This window comes from Homo sapiens, chromosome Y (assembly GCF_000001405.40).
Source record: "Homo sapiens chromosome Y, GRCh38.p14 Primary Assembly".
NCBI lineage: Eukaryota > Metazoa > Chordata > Mammalia > Primates > Hominidae > Homo > Homo sapiens.
Window position 1 is genome coordinate 15,344,193 of NC_000024.10, and position 19,938 is coordinate 15,364,130.

The following is a 19,938-nucleotide window of genomic DNA, read 5'->3' on the forward strand; positions in this document are numbered from 1 at the left end:
CACTCACTGTGTAACTAGTCCCAGTGAGACGAGCTGGGTATATCAGTTGGAAATGCAGAAATCATTTGCCTTCTGTATTGATCTCGCTGGGAGCTGCAGACTGGATCTCTTTATATTTGGCCATCTTGACACCACCCCATTTTGCACAATTGCTTTATTTTTTTTAGAACAAAATGATACATAAATAACCTAGAAAATATTCTCAGTAAAAACTTGATTCTTTAATGTCAGCTTTGTTGGAAAATTTCTCTTACTAAGATGGGAATTATATTTAACAAAACTAATAACCCTTTGATCCTATTTGTTTTTGACTAGTTTCCTATTACTACTATTACTGCACCTAATTAATCTGGTGACAGCTATGGCATACTAAATTCCCTAAGGCAATTAACTAAGAGATTCAGAAATCTCTTCAGTGATTGCTGATTTAATGGAATGCCCTTGAACTCTGGAGGGATGCTGCCCCTGTGAGTTCACACCCACACTGTGGCCAAGAGGAAGCAGCAGGGCCTGACTTAAGAATTCCAAGATCGTCCATGAGCCTCCTGGCCACTGCCTCCTGTATTCCTGACTCAAACACCAAGTACAAAACCAGGGCTGCTTTTCTGGCAGGAGCTTGCGAAAATCTTCCTTAATATTACAATATGCACATCACAAGAGGAAAATCCACAAGGTCTCACTGTCTCTAAGAAAGAAGATGAGAGGAAACATTTCATTTCTGCAAGAGAAATACATCTGTAAGTAAACACAGATAACATTAACGATAATGTTTAAAACTTTCTAAGAGCTAAATGACTTTTAAAAATGCAATTGCTCATTTTTCTATGACAAGTCTAAACAAACATTGTCAGTGAGAACACCAAGATGTTAAAACAGTTCATTCCATGGTCCTTTTTTTTGCAGGGTACCTTGTGAGAGACATTCCTGTTCATGAGGGCCCTTGCTTTGTGGGTTTCACCATAACTGGTCCCATGCAAAGGCAGCATGTGTTTTCCACATACACTTTGCTTCTACATACATTTTAAAACATGGCTAATGTTTTGTGAATACAGGGTCTGGCTGTGTTGCCCTAGCTGGTCTCAAACTCCAGGGTCTTAGCATCCTTCTGCCCTCAGGATCACAAACTGCTGGGGTTACAGGTGTGAGCTCCCACACCTGGCTGTGCATGGTGGTGTGTGCCTGTGGTCCCAGCTACTCAGGAGACAGAGGCAAAAGGATTGCTGAACCCCAGGAGTTGGAGGCTGCAGTGATCTATGATTGTGCCACTACTGCCTATGGCCTGGGCAACAAAGTGGGACCCTATCTGAAAAACAAAATGAAAACCAAAAAAACCCCACATAGATCACCATGTTTCCATTAACACAGTGCATTGCAAAACAAGGACTGCCTGTACTTGAAATTTAGTTTAATTGCCTTAGTTATAGGAACAGCTCATGTTACAAAGGCAAATATTTTACCTCGTCTTTATCAGTTCATAAGTACAGCGCTGAATGCAAGTGCCAACATACTGTGATCAACTCTGGGACCTCCTGTATGGAATGCACCACCTTCATTTTTCTAGGAACCATAATTCAGGTTAAACAACAACAAAAAAAATGGTGTTTCTGAGAGGAAGGCTTTACAGCCTTCTGAGAGGAAGCTATGGGATAAGTCTTTCATGAGGAGAAATTCGTAGGAAAAACGAACATGTTACAGTGGAATTTGTAACAGGATGCCAAGCATGGAGACATACACATGTCCAGACATAAAAAGCAGATACATGTTCCCACTGGGAACTGTTCCAGCTGCACCTGGAGGCTCATTCCAGCTGCACCTGGAGGCTCAGACTTGACTCTCTGATTTACTAGCTAAGAGGTCTCAGGCACATCCCACATCAAGCAATTGCAGTCAAGTTGAATTCAATAATGAGACTTAAATCAAGAATGAAATTTAAATCAGCCCAGGTATATGTGTTGCTAAGAATGTCCCACTCTCTTTCAATGACTGTTTATAGCTGTGGTATCATAAAAACTACACACTCAATTTTTGTCCTTAGTTCATGACACAGAGCTCCTAAACCACTTGGAATTTCCAAATGATTAATGAGCCATTTTCAACCAAATGAGGTGCCTCTTGTGGGCCCAGGATAGCTTAACGACAGGGTCTAGAGGTCAGAAAGACCAAACATGTGATTAAAATATTGGAGCCAGGTGCAGTGGCTCACACTTGTAATCTCAGCACTTTGGGAGGCCAACGGGGTTGGATCACCTGAGGGCAGTTTCAGACCAGCCTGGTCAATATGACAAGACCATCTTTACTAAAAATACAAAAATTATGCGGGCGTGGTGGTGGGTGTCTGTAATCCCAGTTACTCAGGAGGCTGGGGGCAGAAGAATCACTTGAACCCAGGAGGCGGAAGTTGCCGTGAGCCAAGATTGCAGGACTGCACTCCAGCCTGGGTGACAGAACAAGACTCCAACTCAAAATAAACAAACAAACAAACAAAATTGGAACTTTCAGCCCTCTCCCCATCTCCAGGAAGGGAGTGGTGGCATGGACTGACTTCAAAGAGCCATGGTTAGTGAAGGCATCACTAACGCCTATGTAAAAACTTCCATAAAAACCCATACATTAGGAGGCTGGGGAGCTTTGAGTTTGGTGAGCACACGGAGGTGCTGGGAGGGTCAGGTACCCAGAGAGGGCAGGGGAGCACTGTACCCACATGCTGTGGGTACAGCCCATGCTTTGCTTCCATTTGGCTGTCTCTGAGTTGTATCCTTCATAACAAACCAGCAAGTGTATCAAAGTGTTTTCCTGAGCTCTATCAGTCACATTAGGGGATTATCAGATCGGAAAAGAGGGTTGCAGGAACCCCTGAATTTTTTTTTTTTTTTTTGAGATGGAGTCTTGCTCTGTCACCCAGATCTAGAGTGCAGTGTTGTGATCCCGGCTCACTGCAACCTCCACCTCCAGGGTTCAAGTGATTCTCCTGCATCAGTCTACCAAGTAACTGGGATGACAGGTAACTGCCACCACACTGGCTAATTTTGGTATTTTTAATACAGAGAGGGTTTCACCATGTTGACCACCCTAGTCTTGAACTCCTGACCTCAGGTGATCTGCCCACCTCGACCTCACAATGTGCTGGCATTACAGGCATGAGCCACCATGCCTAGCCAAGAGCCCCCAATTTGTAGCCAGTCAATCAGAAGTACAGGTAGGAGGCCCCTGGAATGTGTGATGGGCATCTTCATTGGGTGTCTTGGGGGACTGAGGAGTTAACCTGTGTGGTCTGGGCTGAACCTAGGTGTCAGTGTCAGAATTGAAGTGAATTGTTGGATACCAAATTGGCTTCAGAGAATGAGAGGTCTGCATACTGAGGCACATGTTCTGGCTGCCTCTATAGGTTTGAGGTACTAAGTTGGACGCTAGGCAAAAAAAAAAAAAAAAAAAAAAAAAGTCAAAACTCCAGGTCTTCCAAGACTACTCCAGTAGCTCAGTTTTATTGGGAAGGAGGTTTCTGAGTAATTTCCCTGAGCTTGTGATTGGTGTCAGTGGTTAGCAGTGAGAGGTGCGGTATTAAAAAGACCATTCACCAAAATGTTCCTCCACACAAATCACTGAAGTCCTTACACGCAGGCACCCAAGGGAAAGAGGCATTTGCAGGGACTCCCTGATGGACACCCTCCCCAGCTGCTTACACTAATATCAACAGAAAAGCTCCTCTTTCAAGGGTGCCCTGCTGTGATTCTAGAATGTATATCTGCAAATCGTTCAGGCCAAGGACTCCATGTCAGCAGTAATAGAGCTGTCAGAGGAATCTGGAGCCAGGCCCGGCCGGCCACCATGAGCGGTTAGCTCTCTAAACCCTCTGCCCAAGTCACCTGTGGAGGAGACTCATATAACAAGAGGGAACCAAGGGCTGAGGTGCAGGACAGGAGGTGTTATGGAATACAAGCCCACCAGCTGCCCTTTCCAATGGAGAAATAGATGGAAGCGCAAAAAACCCAGCTGGCCATAAAAACTCAATGTCACTACACAAGAAAAATTCTTCAGCAACCGATGAGAACTCTATAAGCAGTTGGGGAGGGGAAGTGAGTTTTAGTGATTTACATCTGAACTGCAGTGAATACTCACCTTAAAGCCTGCATCTAGACAATAAGACTGTTTTAAGCCCCACATCATTAAAACCACTGCTTCCCTGGAAAATGTCTGAATAGGCCTTTTCCTGTCACTGTAATCTTACCAGCCTGTCCCTGAGACCCAGTGGATTCTGGCTGAGTCTCCCTGGCCTAGAGACTTAGGTGTGGCCACGATTCCTCACAAAATCTTCCAACCAGACCATCTCCCTGCCCACATACCCAAATTCTAAGGAGCACTGCAAAGTGGCCTTCAATAGCACAAATTACAGCTTTTCACATTTGGTAAACACTACGTGGATATTATGTGGGGTAACATGGTTGTGGAACACGGCCCATGTCACTGGCACCCTCTTACCTTCTCCACGGCAGGAGTGGGAGAGAACCTCTTGGCGCAAGCTAGGAAGATGTCGGGGTCTGGCTTGCCACGCTGCACTTTGGGGTCATCTCCCAGCACAGTCTGGGAAAACAAGCTGAAGATCTCCTTGTGGCGGCTTGTCTTCATCTCAAACGATGCAGACTTCAACCTGGTGGCCAGCGCAAAGGGGATGCCTTTTTTCTGACAACCAGTTTCTCAGCTCCTGGGGAGATGGAGGGAAGGAGTGCAGTGAGGGGTGAGGCCTCCACTACAAGGCCTTCTTCCAGGGACGGTCCTTCCAGCTGAGTGGCAGCACACTCTCAGGCTGCTTCTTTTGAGGAATTTCTGACTTAGGATAGACTGTCTGAAAGGGGGTTCTCGGCTCCAAAATATCCCTGCTCAAAATAAACCAAAAACTCAAAAAAGCTATTGGCGGTTGAGCAGTGCATTTCCCAAAGGAACAGAAAAGAAGTGCACTGGGAGGCACTGCTGCTTTGTCTGCTGGGCCTCTTTATTAAATGTGGAGAAGGGCAGGTAGCAGGTCCAGGAAATGACTAGACCTGGGATCTGGCCAGGGCACAGGGAAGGCCACAGAGCAGGGACTCGCTGAACCATACTTTTATTCCACAGCAGCAAATACACAATGACTGTGCTTTTTGTGTTTTCTGCAAAACTGCCGTATTCTGCAGAAAACATTTCAATCATTCTTCACCCTGCTGAGAAGAGGAAATCACACAACGTCCTCCACCAGACACTGGAAAAGGCTGAGGCTGAGGGACTGCTGCAGCATTACTTAACAAGGGATTGGGACAAAAGAAAGCTGCTGAACACAGCTGATCAACAGCAACATGCCATATGAAAAGAGCATCCTCACACTGTCATTAGCCATATGGATTAATTCCAGGGACCACACGCATTCATGGAGGTCACCATAGAGCCAATTATGAGAGGACTAGTTATCAGAAAGAATAAAAAATACCAGGATCCTTCCCAACTTTAACTTATGCTGACTAGCACATCAGGAACATCTAAATCCATACAAGGTATGATGGTTTCTCTAAAATTTTATTTTAAATTGTCATATAATCACGTCTATTTTAATAATATCACAACCTAACGTCCCTACTTTGTCAATTGTTACACAAAAGAATCAACATAGTCATTTTTTCCAAACATCTAAAGCCATTCAAGGTAAGGCAACACACAGATATCTGGAGCACATAACAGATAAGCCTTTAGAACAATGAATGACTATCATCAGAGATAAATAGGGACATTTCATAATCATAAATATGTCAGTTCATTAATAAGACATAATCCTAAATAACACCAAATAGCAGAGCTTCACAATGTATACAGCAAAAACTAATAGAACTGAATGGAGAAACACAAATGTAGAAATAAGTTTAAAACTCCTCTATGAAAAATTTATATAAAAATTAGAAAAGAAGTAAGAATATAGAAGACTTCAGAACCACTGTCAAGCAACCTGACCTAATAGATGTTCACACAATAATTCTCCCAACAACAGCAAAATCCACATTATTTTTAAGTGCACACAGAACACCCAATAGGAAAGATCCTATTATAAACAATAAAACAATTCTCAAAAATTATAAAATACTTAAAATCATATAGAATAACTTCTCTAATGATGATAGAATTAAAATAGACATTAATAATTATAGAAAGGAATTTGGAGAGCCACAAATATTTGGATGTTAAACTTCTACGTAAGGCATGGGTCAAAAATGAAATCACAAAGGGAAACTAGTAGTATTTTGTAGAGAACCAAAAACTATCAAAATTTCTGAGATGTAGCTAAAACACAGTTTAGAGGAAAACTGATGGCATTGAGTGATATGTTAAATAATAAGGTCTCAAATAAGTGATCTAAGTTGACACATTAAACACCTTAAAGAAAATTCAATGATGTAAGCTTTTACCCCAAGAAAGTGAAGTAAAATTGCAAAATAAACCCAAAACAAATAAAAGGAAGGAAATAATAAAAATAAGAGAGAAAATGAACGAAATGAAAAGTAGAATACAGAAAACCAACTAAATCAAAAGTGGGTTCTTTGAAAAGAGAAATTAGATTAGTAGATTTCTAGCTAAGCTGATCAAAAAAAATAAAGAAGATCCAAATGTACCAATATTAGCAGGGAAAGAGGGGACATCACTACAGATCCCAACATCAATAAAATGATAAAAACTTAATTTTTACAGGATTAATGGCAACACATTTGACCATTTAGATGAAATGAGATAATTCTTTGAAAGATATAACTCCCTCAAGAAGACATGAATAACCTGAATAGCTTTCTGCCTATGAAAAGAATTGAATTTGTAGTTAAAAACCTCCTTCTCACATCTAGGATCAGACACCCTCACTGGTAAATTTACCGACTTCCCAAGAAAAAAAAGAATGCCAATTCTAAACACACTTTTCAGAAAATTGGAGGGAACACCTCTCAACTCATTTTACATCAGCACTTCCCTGATCCCAAAACCAGACAAAAGCCAGACAAGAAAACGACAGATCTCATGAACACATATATACACCTCCACACATAAAAACAATATTCAATCAGTGTAGAAGTACTCCACCTGAAGAGCTTCTACAGAACATGAATTCATTAGTTAAAAATACTAAAATATCGCACTACTTCATTAGTTTGCAACAATCACTGATTAGTATCACAGAAGACTACATTTATAAGCTAAACTTCAGTGTTAACCTTAACACAACTGGTAGATGAGATAAAATAAAGGTTATATATATATATATATATATATATATAAAATAGCCAAGCATGTGTGGTAGTGCATGCTGTAATCCCAGTTAATTGGGAGGCTTAGGCAAGAGAATCGCTTGAACCCAGAAGTGGAGGTTGCAGTGAGCCAATATTGCACCACTACACTCCAGCCTGGGCAGCAGAGCCAGATTCCATCTCAAGAAAACAAACAAAAAAAAGAAACAAAAAAAATTAGGCAATCATGAACTTCTGTCTGGATGTACATAGTCATTAAAGCTGAGTATCAAAACCTGAATTTAAAACAAGATTTTAAAATTACTGTATCACACATCTTTAAAGCAATATTTAAAAAAATAATGGAGGACATTTAAACACATGGCTCTCTGTAAAACACAATGCATAAAGAAAATTTTGTTAAAGTACTTTGGTGCTATTAATTTTAAAAACTTAAATACATATTTTTTATTATTATTATTGTTCTGAGACAGGGTCTTGCATTGTGATGCAGGCTGGAGTACAGTCAAGCAATCATAGCAGCCTCAACCTCCTGGGATCAAACAATCCCCCAGACTCACCTTCCCTAATAGCTGGGACTACAGGAGCATGCCACCATGCCCAGTAAATTTTTATGTTTTGTAGAGACAAAGTCTCCCTCTGTTGCCTAAGCTGATCTCAAACTTCTGCCTTAAGCAATCCTCTTGCCTTAGCCTCTCAAAGTCCTGAGCTTACAGGTGTGAGCCACTGTGCCCAGCCTATTATTTTATTTTAGCTTATCCTTTTTGCATTTCTATTGCTGTGAATTCTTTCTAAGATACCAGCTGTAACAGTGGAGTACATAAACAAATGCACACCAATGTGTTTAGACTGGAATGCAGCTCAATATTCTTATTGACGGAGAATGAATCAAAAATGGTTTTGGAAGATTGCTTTACAGCACCACAGCATACTGACATCTTCAAAATGCTACGGACTCCTATGAAGATGAAAGCCAAGACAAGACTATGACCACAGTCAGAGACTATGGGACATCCGTCAATTATATGCCCTCTTTGAGCTTCAATTTTGTCATCTGTCAAAGAGAAATGATTACTGTTCCTCATGGAATTAATTCACAAGAAGAACAATGCCTGGAAAATGACATGGGTGAGGAAGCCCCAGATAAATGTTAGGTAGTGTCGTTATCATCAGATATAGCTCCAGTGTATCAGCAGGAAGGAACGATCCTAATCACCTGATTGAAAACTGCCTGATGCCTTCACAAAGTTTTTCATCTTTTAAAGATTGCACACAAACTTTGTCTTACTCACTGGCCTTCCCTGAGAAGTAAAAGACTAAAAAATGCAAATGGAGTTCTGTTCTAGGGAGAAGCTGGTTAATTACGTGTATAAATGAACTCCAGTTCCCAGCTCCTAGAATTTGGTGTGCTTCCGTGGGTTTACAGGAAGCGCAGAGAGACAGATATCTAGATATCTGTTGCTCCAAACAATCAGCTCACAGGACACCTCTCCAGGGGAAGAACTGGGGAATGTGGAGAATCAGCACTGTGAGTGGGAAGAAACGCTCCTGCTTTCCTCCATCCTAGAGACCCAAGGTGGGTGAGAACAGGGATGTGCAATTAAACAGGATTAAACAAAGGAAAGAGGCAGAAGACAGGCAGCTGCCGCGCGGTCTCAGGTGTTCTTGGCATTCATTTTTGGGTGATCTGGCCATCAGAACCCTACGAGCCTGGACATTCTCTGTACTGAGACCTGCAGTGAGCAGCAGAAGCAAGTTGGGGGTAATAGGGGTTGACAGCGCAAATGGGGAGAGGGAACCGCTTAGAGGGCCAGGCATGTCATTAATGCTGTGTGCCGAGAACCATGTCCTAGGCCTCAGTCTAGAAGAGCTCTATGAAGTGAGACATGGAAGACAGCTCTATGAAGACAGTGTGACATGGAGGACTTGAAGTGAGCCATGGAAGTCTGCCACTGGGGCAGACGATGTGGTCAGCTGATGGATGCCACCTTGCTATGAGAAGAGAAGACAGTGATGCTGTTGCAGACAAGACACACCTGTGGGATTCTGCTGAGCCTCCACCTCCTACATGGGCATCCTAAGGGTTCCTAGCCCCTCTCACCTGACCCCACCATGGGGAAGGTGCCTTGGCATGCTGTCTTTCTTAGGGGCTACTTTCGCAATTGCCTGAAGGGAAGCTGTTATGCTTTAAAAGCTGTGTGTGACTGAGAGCAGTAGGTGGAATGGTGGCCCCCAAACAGAAGCCCTAACGCAAGGTACTTCTGCTTTTGTTTAGAAAAAGTCTTTGAAGATGTAATTAAGTTAAAAATCTTCAGATAAGCTCACCTTGGATTTAGGATGGGCCCTAAATGTGATAACTGTTGTCTTTGGAAGTGACCGAAAAGGGGTGAGAAAAACAGAGAAGAAGGCCACGTGGAAACAGAGGCAGAGACTGGAGAGATGTGGCCACAAGGCCAGGGAAGCCTGGAGTCTCCAGGAGCTGGGAGAAGCAGGAAGGACACTCCCCTAGAACTTCCAGAGGGCGTGTGGCCCTGAGACACCTTGATTTCAGACTTCCGGTCTCCAGAACTGGGAGCGAGTCAATTTCTTGTATTAGAAGTTGAGAGTTTTCAGTATCTTGTGGCAGCAGCCCAAGAAATGAATACACAAGTGCTCTGTTCTTGAATGTGAATGAGCAGAACAGACACTGCCACGTGTTTGTGGAAGAAGACACAAACAGGCAGAAGACAAGAATCTGCCAGAAAACAATGGCAATACAGAGAAAAGTGGGCAAAGAAGCAACAGTCATGATAATAGTATTCATGGAGACATAAGTTACTGAGTCTTTAAAACAAAAACAGAAAGCTAGGAAAGTACAATGCCCAGAAGAAGAAAGAGCATAGAAGGGTTAAAACAAATCAGGAGATGAGGGCGGACACAGGCAATGTCAGCTAAAACACCAAGCTGTCTGGCATGCGGTTCAAGGAGGTTGCCGGGCAGGTGGTAAACAGACTGCTTCCCTTTCTCGCTCCCTAGAAATATGTCAGATGTGCAGGTTTGGCCGGTCACGGTGGCTCACACCTGCAATCCTGGCACTTTGGGAGGTCGCGGCGGGCAGATTACTTCAGGTCAGCAGTTTGAGACCTGCCTGGCTAACGTGGTGAAACCCCGTGTGTGCTAAAAATACAAAAATCCAGCCAGGCACAGTGGCTCATTCCGATAATCCCAGCATTTTGGGATGCTGAGGCTGGCAGATCACGAGGTCAGGAGACAAGGACACTAACACGGTGAAACCGCGTCTCTACTAAAAATACAAAAAATTAGCCGGGCATGGTAGTGGGCGTCTGTAGTCCCAGCTTCTCGGGAGGCTGCCGCAGGAGAATGACGTGAACCCTGGAGGCGGAGCTTGCAGTGAGCCGAGATTGAGCCACTGCACTCCAGCCTGGGCAATAGAGCGAGACTCTGCCCGGAAAAAAAAAAAAAAAAAATGTAGAAGGATATTGGGCCGGGCGTGGTGGCTCACGCCTGTAATCCCAGCACTTTGGGAGGCTGAGGTGGGCGGATCAGGAGGTCAGGAGAAGGAGACCATCCTGGCTAATACAGTGAAACCCCAACTCTACTAAAAATACAAAAAATTAGCCGGGCGTGGTGGCGGGCGCCTGTAGTCCCGGCTACTCAGGAGGCAGAGGCAGGAGAATGACGTGAACCCGGGAGGTGGAGCTTGCATTGAGCCGAGATCGTGCCACTGCACTCCAGCCTGGGCGACAGAGCGAGACTCCATCTCAATCAATCAATCAATCAATAACACAAAAATCAGCCAAGTGTGGTGGCGCGTGCCTGTAATTCCAGCTACTCGGGAGGCAGAGGTTGCAGTGAGCCAGATCGTGCCACTGCACTCCAGCATGAGTAATAGAGTGTAACTCTGTCTCACAAAAGCAAAAACAAAACAAAACAAAAGATATATGTCATGTGTGATTTTTAAAACACTGACAATATTCAAATATACATAGAAACTGCCTGATTGATGTTGCTTTGTTCCCTGTGAGGCAGTTTCACTTCCTGAGGACTACAGAGAAACCCTGCCACCCTCTGGCCTCCACCCTCTTCCTAAGGCTCAGAATCTGAGCTGTTACCTGCATCTTTGCCGTGAAGACATAGCTCATGTGCTATCACTTCCTGGAAATTTTACCAGGCTCCTCACACCCTTGTAACCCTCTGGGATTCACCGCAACACCTCCAGCAGCTGGCTGCAGTTATTTCACTTGTATGTATGCGGTTAGAAACTTCCACTCAAGAAGGAGTCATAACCTCTGCACTCCCAAGACCCCCATGCAGACATCCCGTCAATAAACTGCTTATTTCCTGCCCTCTGTTTTCCTCATCCTCATACTCCATTCCCTCTGTTCTTAGGAATGGAAGGCAGTGGTGGGGGCAGGAATCATTCCTTTTCCTTGCAGTACATGTGTGCACATTGGAATAGAAAGTGATTTCAGATACATAGTGGGAAGGCGAGCTAGTTTTCCTTTGACTCCATCCATGGCTGATGAAGCAAGCTGAATGCTGGCTGTGGGGGTGTGAGGATGCCCACTGCGCTACACGACAATGCTCAGAGTTTCTTAGAGTTTGTGTTTCCAATTAGGAGGCCACGCTTGGCTGGCACATGCTGGGCCCTCAATAAATATGACTGATATTGAATAGAAAATTAGGGCAAAGTTCATTAAAAATAACATCTGGCTACGTGAAAATCACTCAGATTCTAGATTTTAAGTGTTCTCCCCACAAAACATGATCAGAAAGTGAGATGATACATGTGATCATTAGCTTGATGCAGCCACTCCACAATGTATACACACTTCAAAACATGTTGTGCATGATATCTACATATGATTTTTATTTGTCAATTAACAATTAAGTTAAAAAAATAGCATCCAGTTATCCGAGTTCATGGTGGGGAGCCTTCTCATGGAGCGGTTAGTGTTCTCCTCTACACAAGACAGACCTGTTACTCTCTAATAAGATGCTGCCTCCTGGAGAATGTGTACCCAGGGAGCACACACGCTCCATCAGACTTTGCTGTTGTGGTATAGCATACGGAGACGGTATAAGATTCGATGTGACTGACAGGCACATTTATCCAAGAGAAAACTTTCAAGATCTGATGCAGTAATGCAGTGTTTCCATTCTTATTTCTTGCTTACTTGAAGTTCCTTGAGCTAGCTGAAAGCACTTACTGTTGTGAGGCTTCCTAAGGAAACATCAGTGCCAGGTTCTTCACAAATGTCACACATGATCTCACAAGGAAGGTACCATGTTCTGAAAAACACTGTGCTTTAGAATACTAGAATTTTTGGCACTTTACAATGCAAGGACTTGTCTTGCTCTCTGAACACTGGGTCTTACATGGGCAACTTGGCCCATGAGCCAAGTCCCTGAGCATTCAGTCATTAATGGACAGTCAGAGGCCACATGCAGGAAGCTGCTGCTGTGCGAATAGCTGATGCCCTGAGTGAGTTGACCAGGAAAGCAGAAAGATGTCTGCAGGCCAAACAGGCACCTGGGATTCCATAAAATGGATGCAAGTTAACTTTACATCATACGGGGTAGGCTGTATAGGTCAGGTATTCACAGAGGGGTCCACAAAATGGATTTTAGCAAACTGCAAGTTTAACATCTGTTTAATTTTAAAAGAAATGTGGTGATTCATTTATTTCTTGTTCAAGGTTTATTGAAGGAAACATAAGTCCATGAGGACAGGTCGCTAGCACTGTGAGTAATGGACTGGTCGCGCTCAGTGACAAAGTGTCTCCTGGACCAGACTCTACCCAGGCTGCTCTGAGTCTTTTTCTCTACAATGCCCCTACACTGGCCTATAAAGACTTGAACATGTTCAGCAGCTCAAGGTCATACCCCTAGATGACTCTAATCCCCTTAAAGTACTTGCCTATGAAAACTCAAGGCTGCCAAAATAACTAACTAATCATTGGTTCCAGCCATCCCTGCTAGACAAGCCTCTGTGGAAGGGCAGGAGCCTGACTTCTATCAGCACCAGTGAAACCCAGATGGCTTCACACTGACCAAACCCTCTTCCCGCTTTTTGCAATTTTCACTTCCCTGACTCTGCTGAGCCCCTCCTAACCCTTCCCTACTCCCTGAGTTTCCGTTTAAAATGTCCGGTCACCTCTGGGCTAATTGATGTTGAGTCCAGTTTCACATATGTGTTTTCTCTATTGCAAAAGTGTAAATTATGGAAGAAAATCTGTGCTGACCACTTTAACTACTGTTTGGCTGTGTTTATCCTTGACGCTAGAAAATAACCAAAGTCATATTCCCCAGAGTACATAGTATTCACATTCATATACATAGTTTTAAAAATTGTAACTTCAAGTATAAATTTAAAAGAAATATTAACTAATTTAAGAAATGTCAATAATATAGATTCTTGATTTTTATAAGTTCTGTAAGTTTATCTATTAAAATGGAACCATCACTTACAAACACTACTGTGTGCTTTTTAGTTCCCTCACAGGAAACTTCTGGTAGCCACAGCCACTGTGATTGGGCATCTCTTAATAATTTACTGCAGAGCCATGCCTAGGCCTATTCCTCTTCTGAACTTCTCCAAGCTCTAGGGAGCAAGCTTCTTTCTCAGACATCACTGATTTTGGCAAAGCACCTCTTTCCTTTTTCCAGGCCTTCCAAATGAATTCTGCTGCTTTGAAAAGGTGCTTGCTGGGAGGAACAGGGCCCCTGGTCATGTGCAGATCTTCAGTCCTAATTTACTAGGGACCTTTCACCAACTCAAAGCTAGTATCAAGGATCACCACTGCTTGCACCATGAGATCTGTCTCATGGAATTGAGTCACTCACCTATATCCTCAGTGTAAGACAGTGTGGTAGCATAGAAGGAAGGGAAACAAGAGAAAGGAATTGGGCTGGGGGGCTGGAAGAGGAACAGGGCTCTGGCCAAGTCTGGCTGAACCTCCCGGAACACTCCAGCCAAACGTAAGTGACTGAGCCCACACCCCAGCTCAGGGCCCTCCTGGAACACTCCAGCCAAATAGCAGTGACTAAGCCTGCACCCCAGATCAGGGCAGCATCAGGTTCTGGGGCACCCTGGACACTGGCAGTCTGGGCTATGAATAGGAAAGTATGGGTGGAGGTATAATGGCTTGACAGTGCCCTCCTCGCAAAATTCATGTTCACCTAAAATGTCGGAATAGGACCTTATTTGGAAATAGGGTCTTTGCAGATGTAATCAAGTTATTATGAGGCCATTCTAAATTAAGGTTGGACCCTAAATCCAATGAAAGGAGAGGGAAATTTGGAGAAAGTGACACATAGGCTGTGGGAGGGCATGTGAAAATGGAGGCAGAGATTGGGGAGATGAAGCTACAAGTCAAGGAAAGCTAAGGGTGGCCGGCAACTACCAGCAGCTGAAAAAAGGCAGGAAGGATCCTTCCCTAGAGCCTTGAGAGGGAGTGCAGCCCTGCTCACACCTTGACTTCGGACTTCTAGCCTTCTGAGGTGTCAGACAATAAGTTTCTGCTGCTTTAAGCCACGGAGTTTCTTAATTAACACAGCACTACCAGGAAGCTAATACAGTGCATTGACCCTGGAGGAAAAAACTTGGATAGACTGAGGTTCTATCTGTGAGATGACCTTAAACCACCTTAATTATCTTTCTCAAATTCTGGTACTTGACACACAAATTTGTGATACTTGATGGGGAGACAGTGTGGGAAACCTGTGTTTCCTTCTTTGGCAAACATTAAATACTGATGGAAATAAAGCAGTTATGGAAATAAATATAAACTAACTCCTTTTAAATCTTCAAACAAACAGTTGCAAGAGTCTAGTTTGCATTTATTTGATCTGCAGGTCTTGGTGCAACACAGAGGATGAGCATCCGACTACCTTCAAATGTACTGCTGTTCTATCCACAGCTGGCTGCTTGCTCTGCAGCAATATATGCTGTCTAATGCTCTCTGGGATCGCTGAAATGTGACTGGCATAAACTCCTCCAACCAAAGAAGCGCCTTTCTCTAGAATCTCCTTATCAGTATCATGAATGGCATAGTTTGTGTTCTGCTCCAATTTCACAGACTTACAGCAGAATTTCAGATTAAAATGGAAAGCCGGGGAGGGCAATTCAAACCACTGAGCAATGCCTGGTAATTACAGATGGATCAAACAATAAAAGTTAAAACAAAACTTTTTTTTCAGACATTGAAAACAAGAGACAAAGTAATACTGAGTAATGCAGGAATTTTATTTCAGAAAAATTGATTCTGCATTTCTACATTAGTTTCTGTGAAGTGAACGTAAGACTACAGTGTGTAATTTCCTTTTCTTAAGTAGTGACAGGATTTTACTTTGTTGGCCAGGATTGTCTCGAGTTCCTGTCCTCAAGCAACCTGCCTCCCTCAGTCTCCTACAATGCTGGCATTACAGGTGTAGAGTGTGATAGTGGGAGTGAATGTCTGCCCTTTCTCATTCCTTTGCTAAGCACTAGGACTTTGGAAGGAAGGGCTCTCCACCTGATCTTACTGACCTTAAGTGCCCCTCATCCAGGCAGGACTTGATGTCCTAATGTTAAAAAATGACTGTAAATTTCCCTGCAGTATAGACTTGCCTCTGTAACATCTTACATGAAAACTTCACTCTCACTATAGAATGGTGTACTGGTCCTTGCTTCTTTCCCTTATAAAGAATAACTATGACTTTACAAAAAAAAATGCCATTTTACTAATAGCATGGGATACGTATGAGTGTCCTTGTGATCCAGATTTGCCACTGTAGCAATTTACACACAAATTGTTCTCTGACTCTAGCAAGTAGTACTAACCCCTGATCCCTTTTTTTTTAAACCCCTTGCAGAGAATGACTGGACTAGTACTTTGCAGTATAATGCCATTTTACAACACATGAAATGCATGAGAGTTTCCTTGTGTTCTAGATGTGCCTCTGTGACAACCTGCATGCAAACTGCTCTCTGACTCTAACGTTGGCTACTGATCCATGATCTTTGCTTTTCTTTCCTTTTAGAAAATGGCTATACTAGGACTGAAGAGCATAATATCAACAAAAATGACAACCAAAGTTTAAGTTCTAAGCCTCTTGAAAGGCAGGGAAGAATATATAGATTACAGGAGCATCTGGAAAGGATGTGTGTTCCCCAGAGAGGACTACATTTCAGATGTGGATCCCCACAACAGAAGACTGGGGGCTGAGTCACCAGGCAGATTCTAAGTAAGCTACACAGCACCACTTGGGGGCACAAGTGGGAGCCTTCTCCAAACTGGAAGTTACTACCTGTAGTTAGTTTTTTCATCAATAGGCCTTGAAATATTGGTATTTGAGGGTTGTTGTCATGAGGTAACTTCCTTCCCCAGAGAAGAGTTCTCTAGGATCTTTTTTGGCTGTGCATAAAAAAGAGTGAGGTGAAGGGACCTGGCGGGCTCACAGCGCAGGGTGCAGGGATCTTTTATCTACATCCTCCACTGTGCCTGATCACCAGAGATCTGAAGTCTTTCTGGCTCTGTGTATAAACCTGTTTTCTGCCCCAGGTGGCATTTTGAATGCACAACTTGGGGTGGAGGGCCCAGTGGCTCGGCTACTTCATATTTTGAATTTAAACTGCTCTGCAGTGTTTTAGCTCTTTGTTTTATCCTGTGTTTTTTTAAAAACAGAAATTCACCCTACTACATGTTTTTAAATGAAAAGAGTATTTTCACTCTTTCACAACGTGTTTTAACAATGATCTTATAACCTGTGAAAATGAGATGAAGTTCCACTTTCTATGTCTTTACAGACAGTTCGGAGCGCAGCACCAGCACGCACTCACCACTGTTTACGGCTACTTGCTTCTCAACACAGCAAAGCTGAAGGCTTCACACATACACCATGGGGTCTGCAAAGCTGAAAACATAGAGAAAGCTTGCTGGCTTCTGCTAGATAGCAAACAAATCATGCGCAGGCCCAAGAGGTGAAAGGAAAGCGGTAACATTAGGTAGGATGGAAATATAAGAGGTATATTTTGTAATGCAGGAAGTCAGCCAGGCATTGACACCTAACCCCTTCGCCCCCTTGCCTGTGACACTAATGAGAAGAATTACTGTCAGTTTTTCAAGGAATTCATGCACAGACCAGATAGGAAATTAACCTCATGAGAGAATTACCATCCTAGAAACAGAATCCAAAAGCCCCCAGTGAGTTTCTTCCATTAACCATTTAGTTAAATAATGTCTAACACTCCTCAAATTATTACAGCATTATTGGAGCAAATTATCAAAATAATATTGAGAATTTAAAGTATATTTGGAATCTACATATTATATATATTGTATAATAACTCACTAAAAATATGTAGCATAAAGGTTTATTAATGTTAGTTTGAAGTACAGTTCCTGTACTATGCAGCTGAATCCAAATAGAGTTTTTTTAGTTAACCAAGTATAGAACATTTTATGAGCCACAGACCCCCCATTTCAATGCAACCAGAAAGGAGCAGAATTTTTTAAATTAAAAAAAAAATTCTTAGTCCCATGAAATAAAATTCATATAAATCTCTAATCGACAAAAAGGATGTATATAAAGATTAAATCAGTTTGATATACCAACATGCTTAAATTTCCTTATTAAATTGCCCTTACAATAGGCTGTGCATCGTACAAAGAAAAATCAGAAAAATAAGATTCATACAACCCAGACAGTATCTCTTTTGGGAGTTTTATAGTATTTTTCTAAAATGTGGGACATTCAGAAAATGCCCACTTCCCTCAAGCTAGCTGGTAAGTGACCCTCTGATTATATGCGTCACATCTCACCTGTATCTAACAGGGAGAGCCAGTTGCAACAACAGAAACTCCTGTGTTGTCACAATGAAGAGGCTGGAGGCTACCATGCGGGCTCCCACAAGCCCCCACCTCACCCCAAACAGGTCAGACCCCACCCCCTCAGACACAATCTTGTGCTCCATCCTGTGTGACAAAGGATAACACCATTGGCAAATTCGCAGTTCAATGTGGGAGTCTACTATCAGTTTTAGAATTTGCTCTTTGCCCTCAAAATCAAGTAAATTTTTTTTTGTGTTATGTAACAGATGAGAAGCAGAGGACTTTTCACAGTTTTACATTGATATGAGAAACAAGTGGCACTGAACACTTCCAAAGGGTCATTGGCAACTCCATGAAAAAGACTTTTTGATCATCAGGAGTCTCTTCTCCTTACAGAAGCTACACCAGCATTCTTTCTGGACATTATGCCATCTCTATAGCCAGCTGTCAATAGTACATAAAAAAGAAAGGGAAAGATACTGATGAACAGTATTTTGTTCTGATCAGGACATACTTAGTTCATCACTTGACTGTGCTAACTCAGGTCTCCTAGGTTTCACTAGAATGTGCAAAGCTTTGGAAACTTAAAGGAAAGGCACATTTAACTGGACTTTTTATTTGTTCTTTCTTTCCTTCTTGTTTTTTTTTTTAAGATGGAGTCTCACTCTGTTCCCCAGGCTGGAGTACAGTGGTGTAATCTCAGCCCACTGCAACCTCTGCTTCCCAGTTTCAAGCAATTCTCCTGCCTCAATCTCCCAAGTAGCTGGGATTACAGGCACCTGCCACCACACCCAGCTAATTTTTTTTTTTTCTTTTTTTTTTTTTTTGAGACGGAGTCTCGCTCTGTCGCCCAGGCTGGAGTGCAGTGGCGGGATCTCGGCTCACTGCAAGCTCCGCCTCCCGGGTTCACGCCATTCTCCTGCCTCAGCCTCCCAAGTAGCTGGGACTACAGGCGCCCGCCACTACGCCCGGCTAATTTTTTTTGTATTTTTAGTAGAGACGGGGTTTCACCGTTTTAGCCGAGATGGTCTCGATCTCCTGACCTCGTGATCCGCCCGCCTCGGCCTCCCAAAGTGCTGGGATTACAGGCGTGAGCCACCGCGCCCGGCCAATTTTTTTGTATCTTTATAGAGACATGGTTTCACCATGTTGGTCGGGCTGCTGTCAAACTCCTGACCTCCAGCGATACACCTGCCTTGACCTCCCAAAGTGCTGGGATTACAGGTGTGAGCCATTGCACCCAGGCTTAACTGGACTTTTTTTCTTCCACTGGCTTTCTTAAGATTTGAAGAACCTGACCAACTATCTCAAAACACTGAGGATCCTCAGAAAAATATTTGATTTTGTGTCTTCTTTGATTTGCCAGAAAGCTGCTTACAGTACTAATTTCATTTACTTTGAATCACTTTTCAGGTTGCTACTTCTAAGGATCTATCACTACAAAATAAATGTATAAAACAGCTATTTAAATAGCTTATGATTAATAGCCAATGGAAGAAAAACATAAACTAGAAAATGATAACTCATTGAATTTTCCTGATTCTCTACTAAGGTCTCCATATGATTAAACAATGTAAATTATCTTAACTAAACAAGCACAAGTATTATAAAACCCAATCTGATTAAGGCATTTAACTCATTGCAGAGAAAGCCATACCAGAGGTTCTAAATAAAAGCAACCTGGTAATAGCCTACCATGCCAGGGTCAAACTTCTTCTCTGCTTCACTTCTCTGAACCTGTATCCTCACTTCCTATATAATGCAAATAAGACCATCCTGACTATGTCACACGGCCAACATAAAAGTGCAAATGATATAAAGACTGGGAAAGAGTTTCAGTTTTCAATTCCTTCACAAATAAGAGGTAATAGAAAAGT

General features: G+C 42.7%; 1 long non-coding RNA gene across 1 annotated transcript in view; it reads right to left on the reverse strand.

The window, feature by feature from the left end:
- The window catches only part of LOC107987355 (uncharacterized), a 118,030-nt gene that overhangs the window by 97,087 nt on the left and 1,005 nt on the right, over nucleotides 1-19,938 (reverse strand). Inside the window, exon 2 of the long non-coding RNA XR_001756089.1 lies at nucleotides 4,477-4,699. This is a non-coding gene — a long non-coding RNA (uncharacterized LOC107987355). The remainder of the gene's footprint in view (nucleotides 1-4,476; nucleotides 4,700-19,938) is intronic.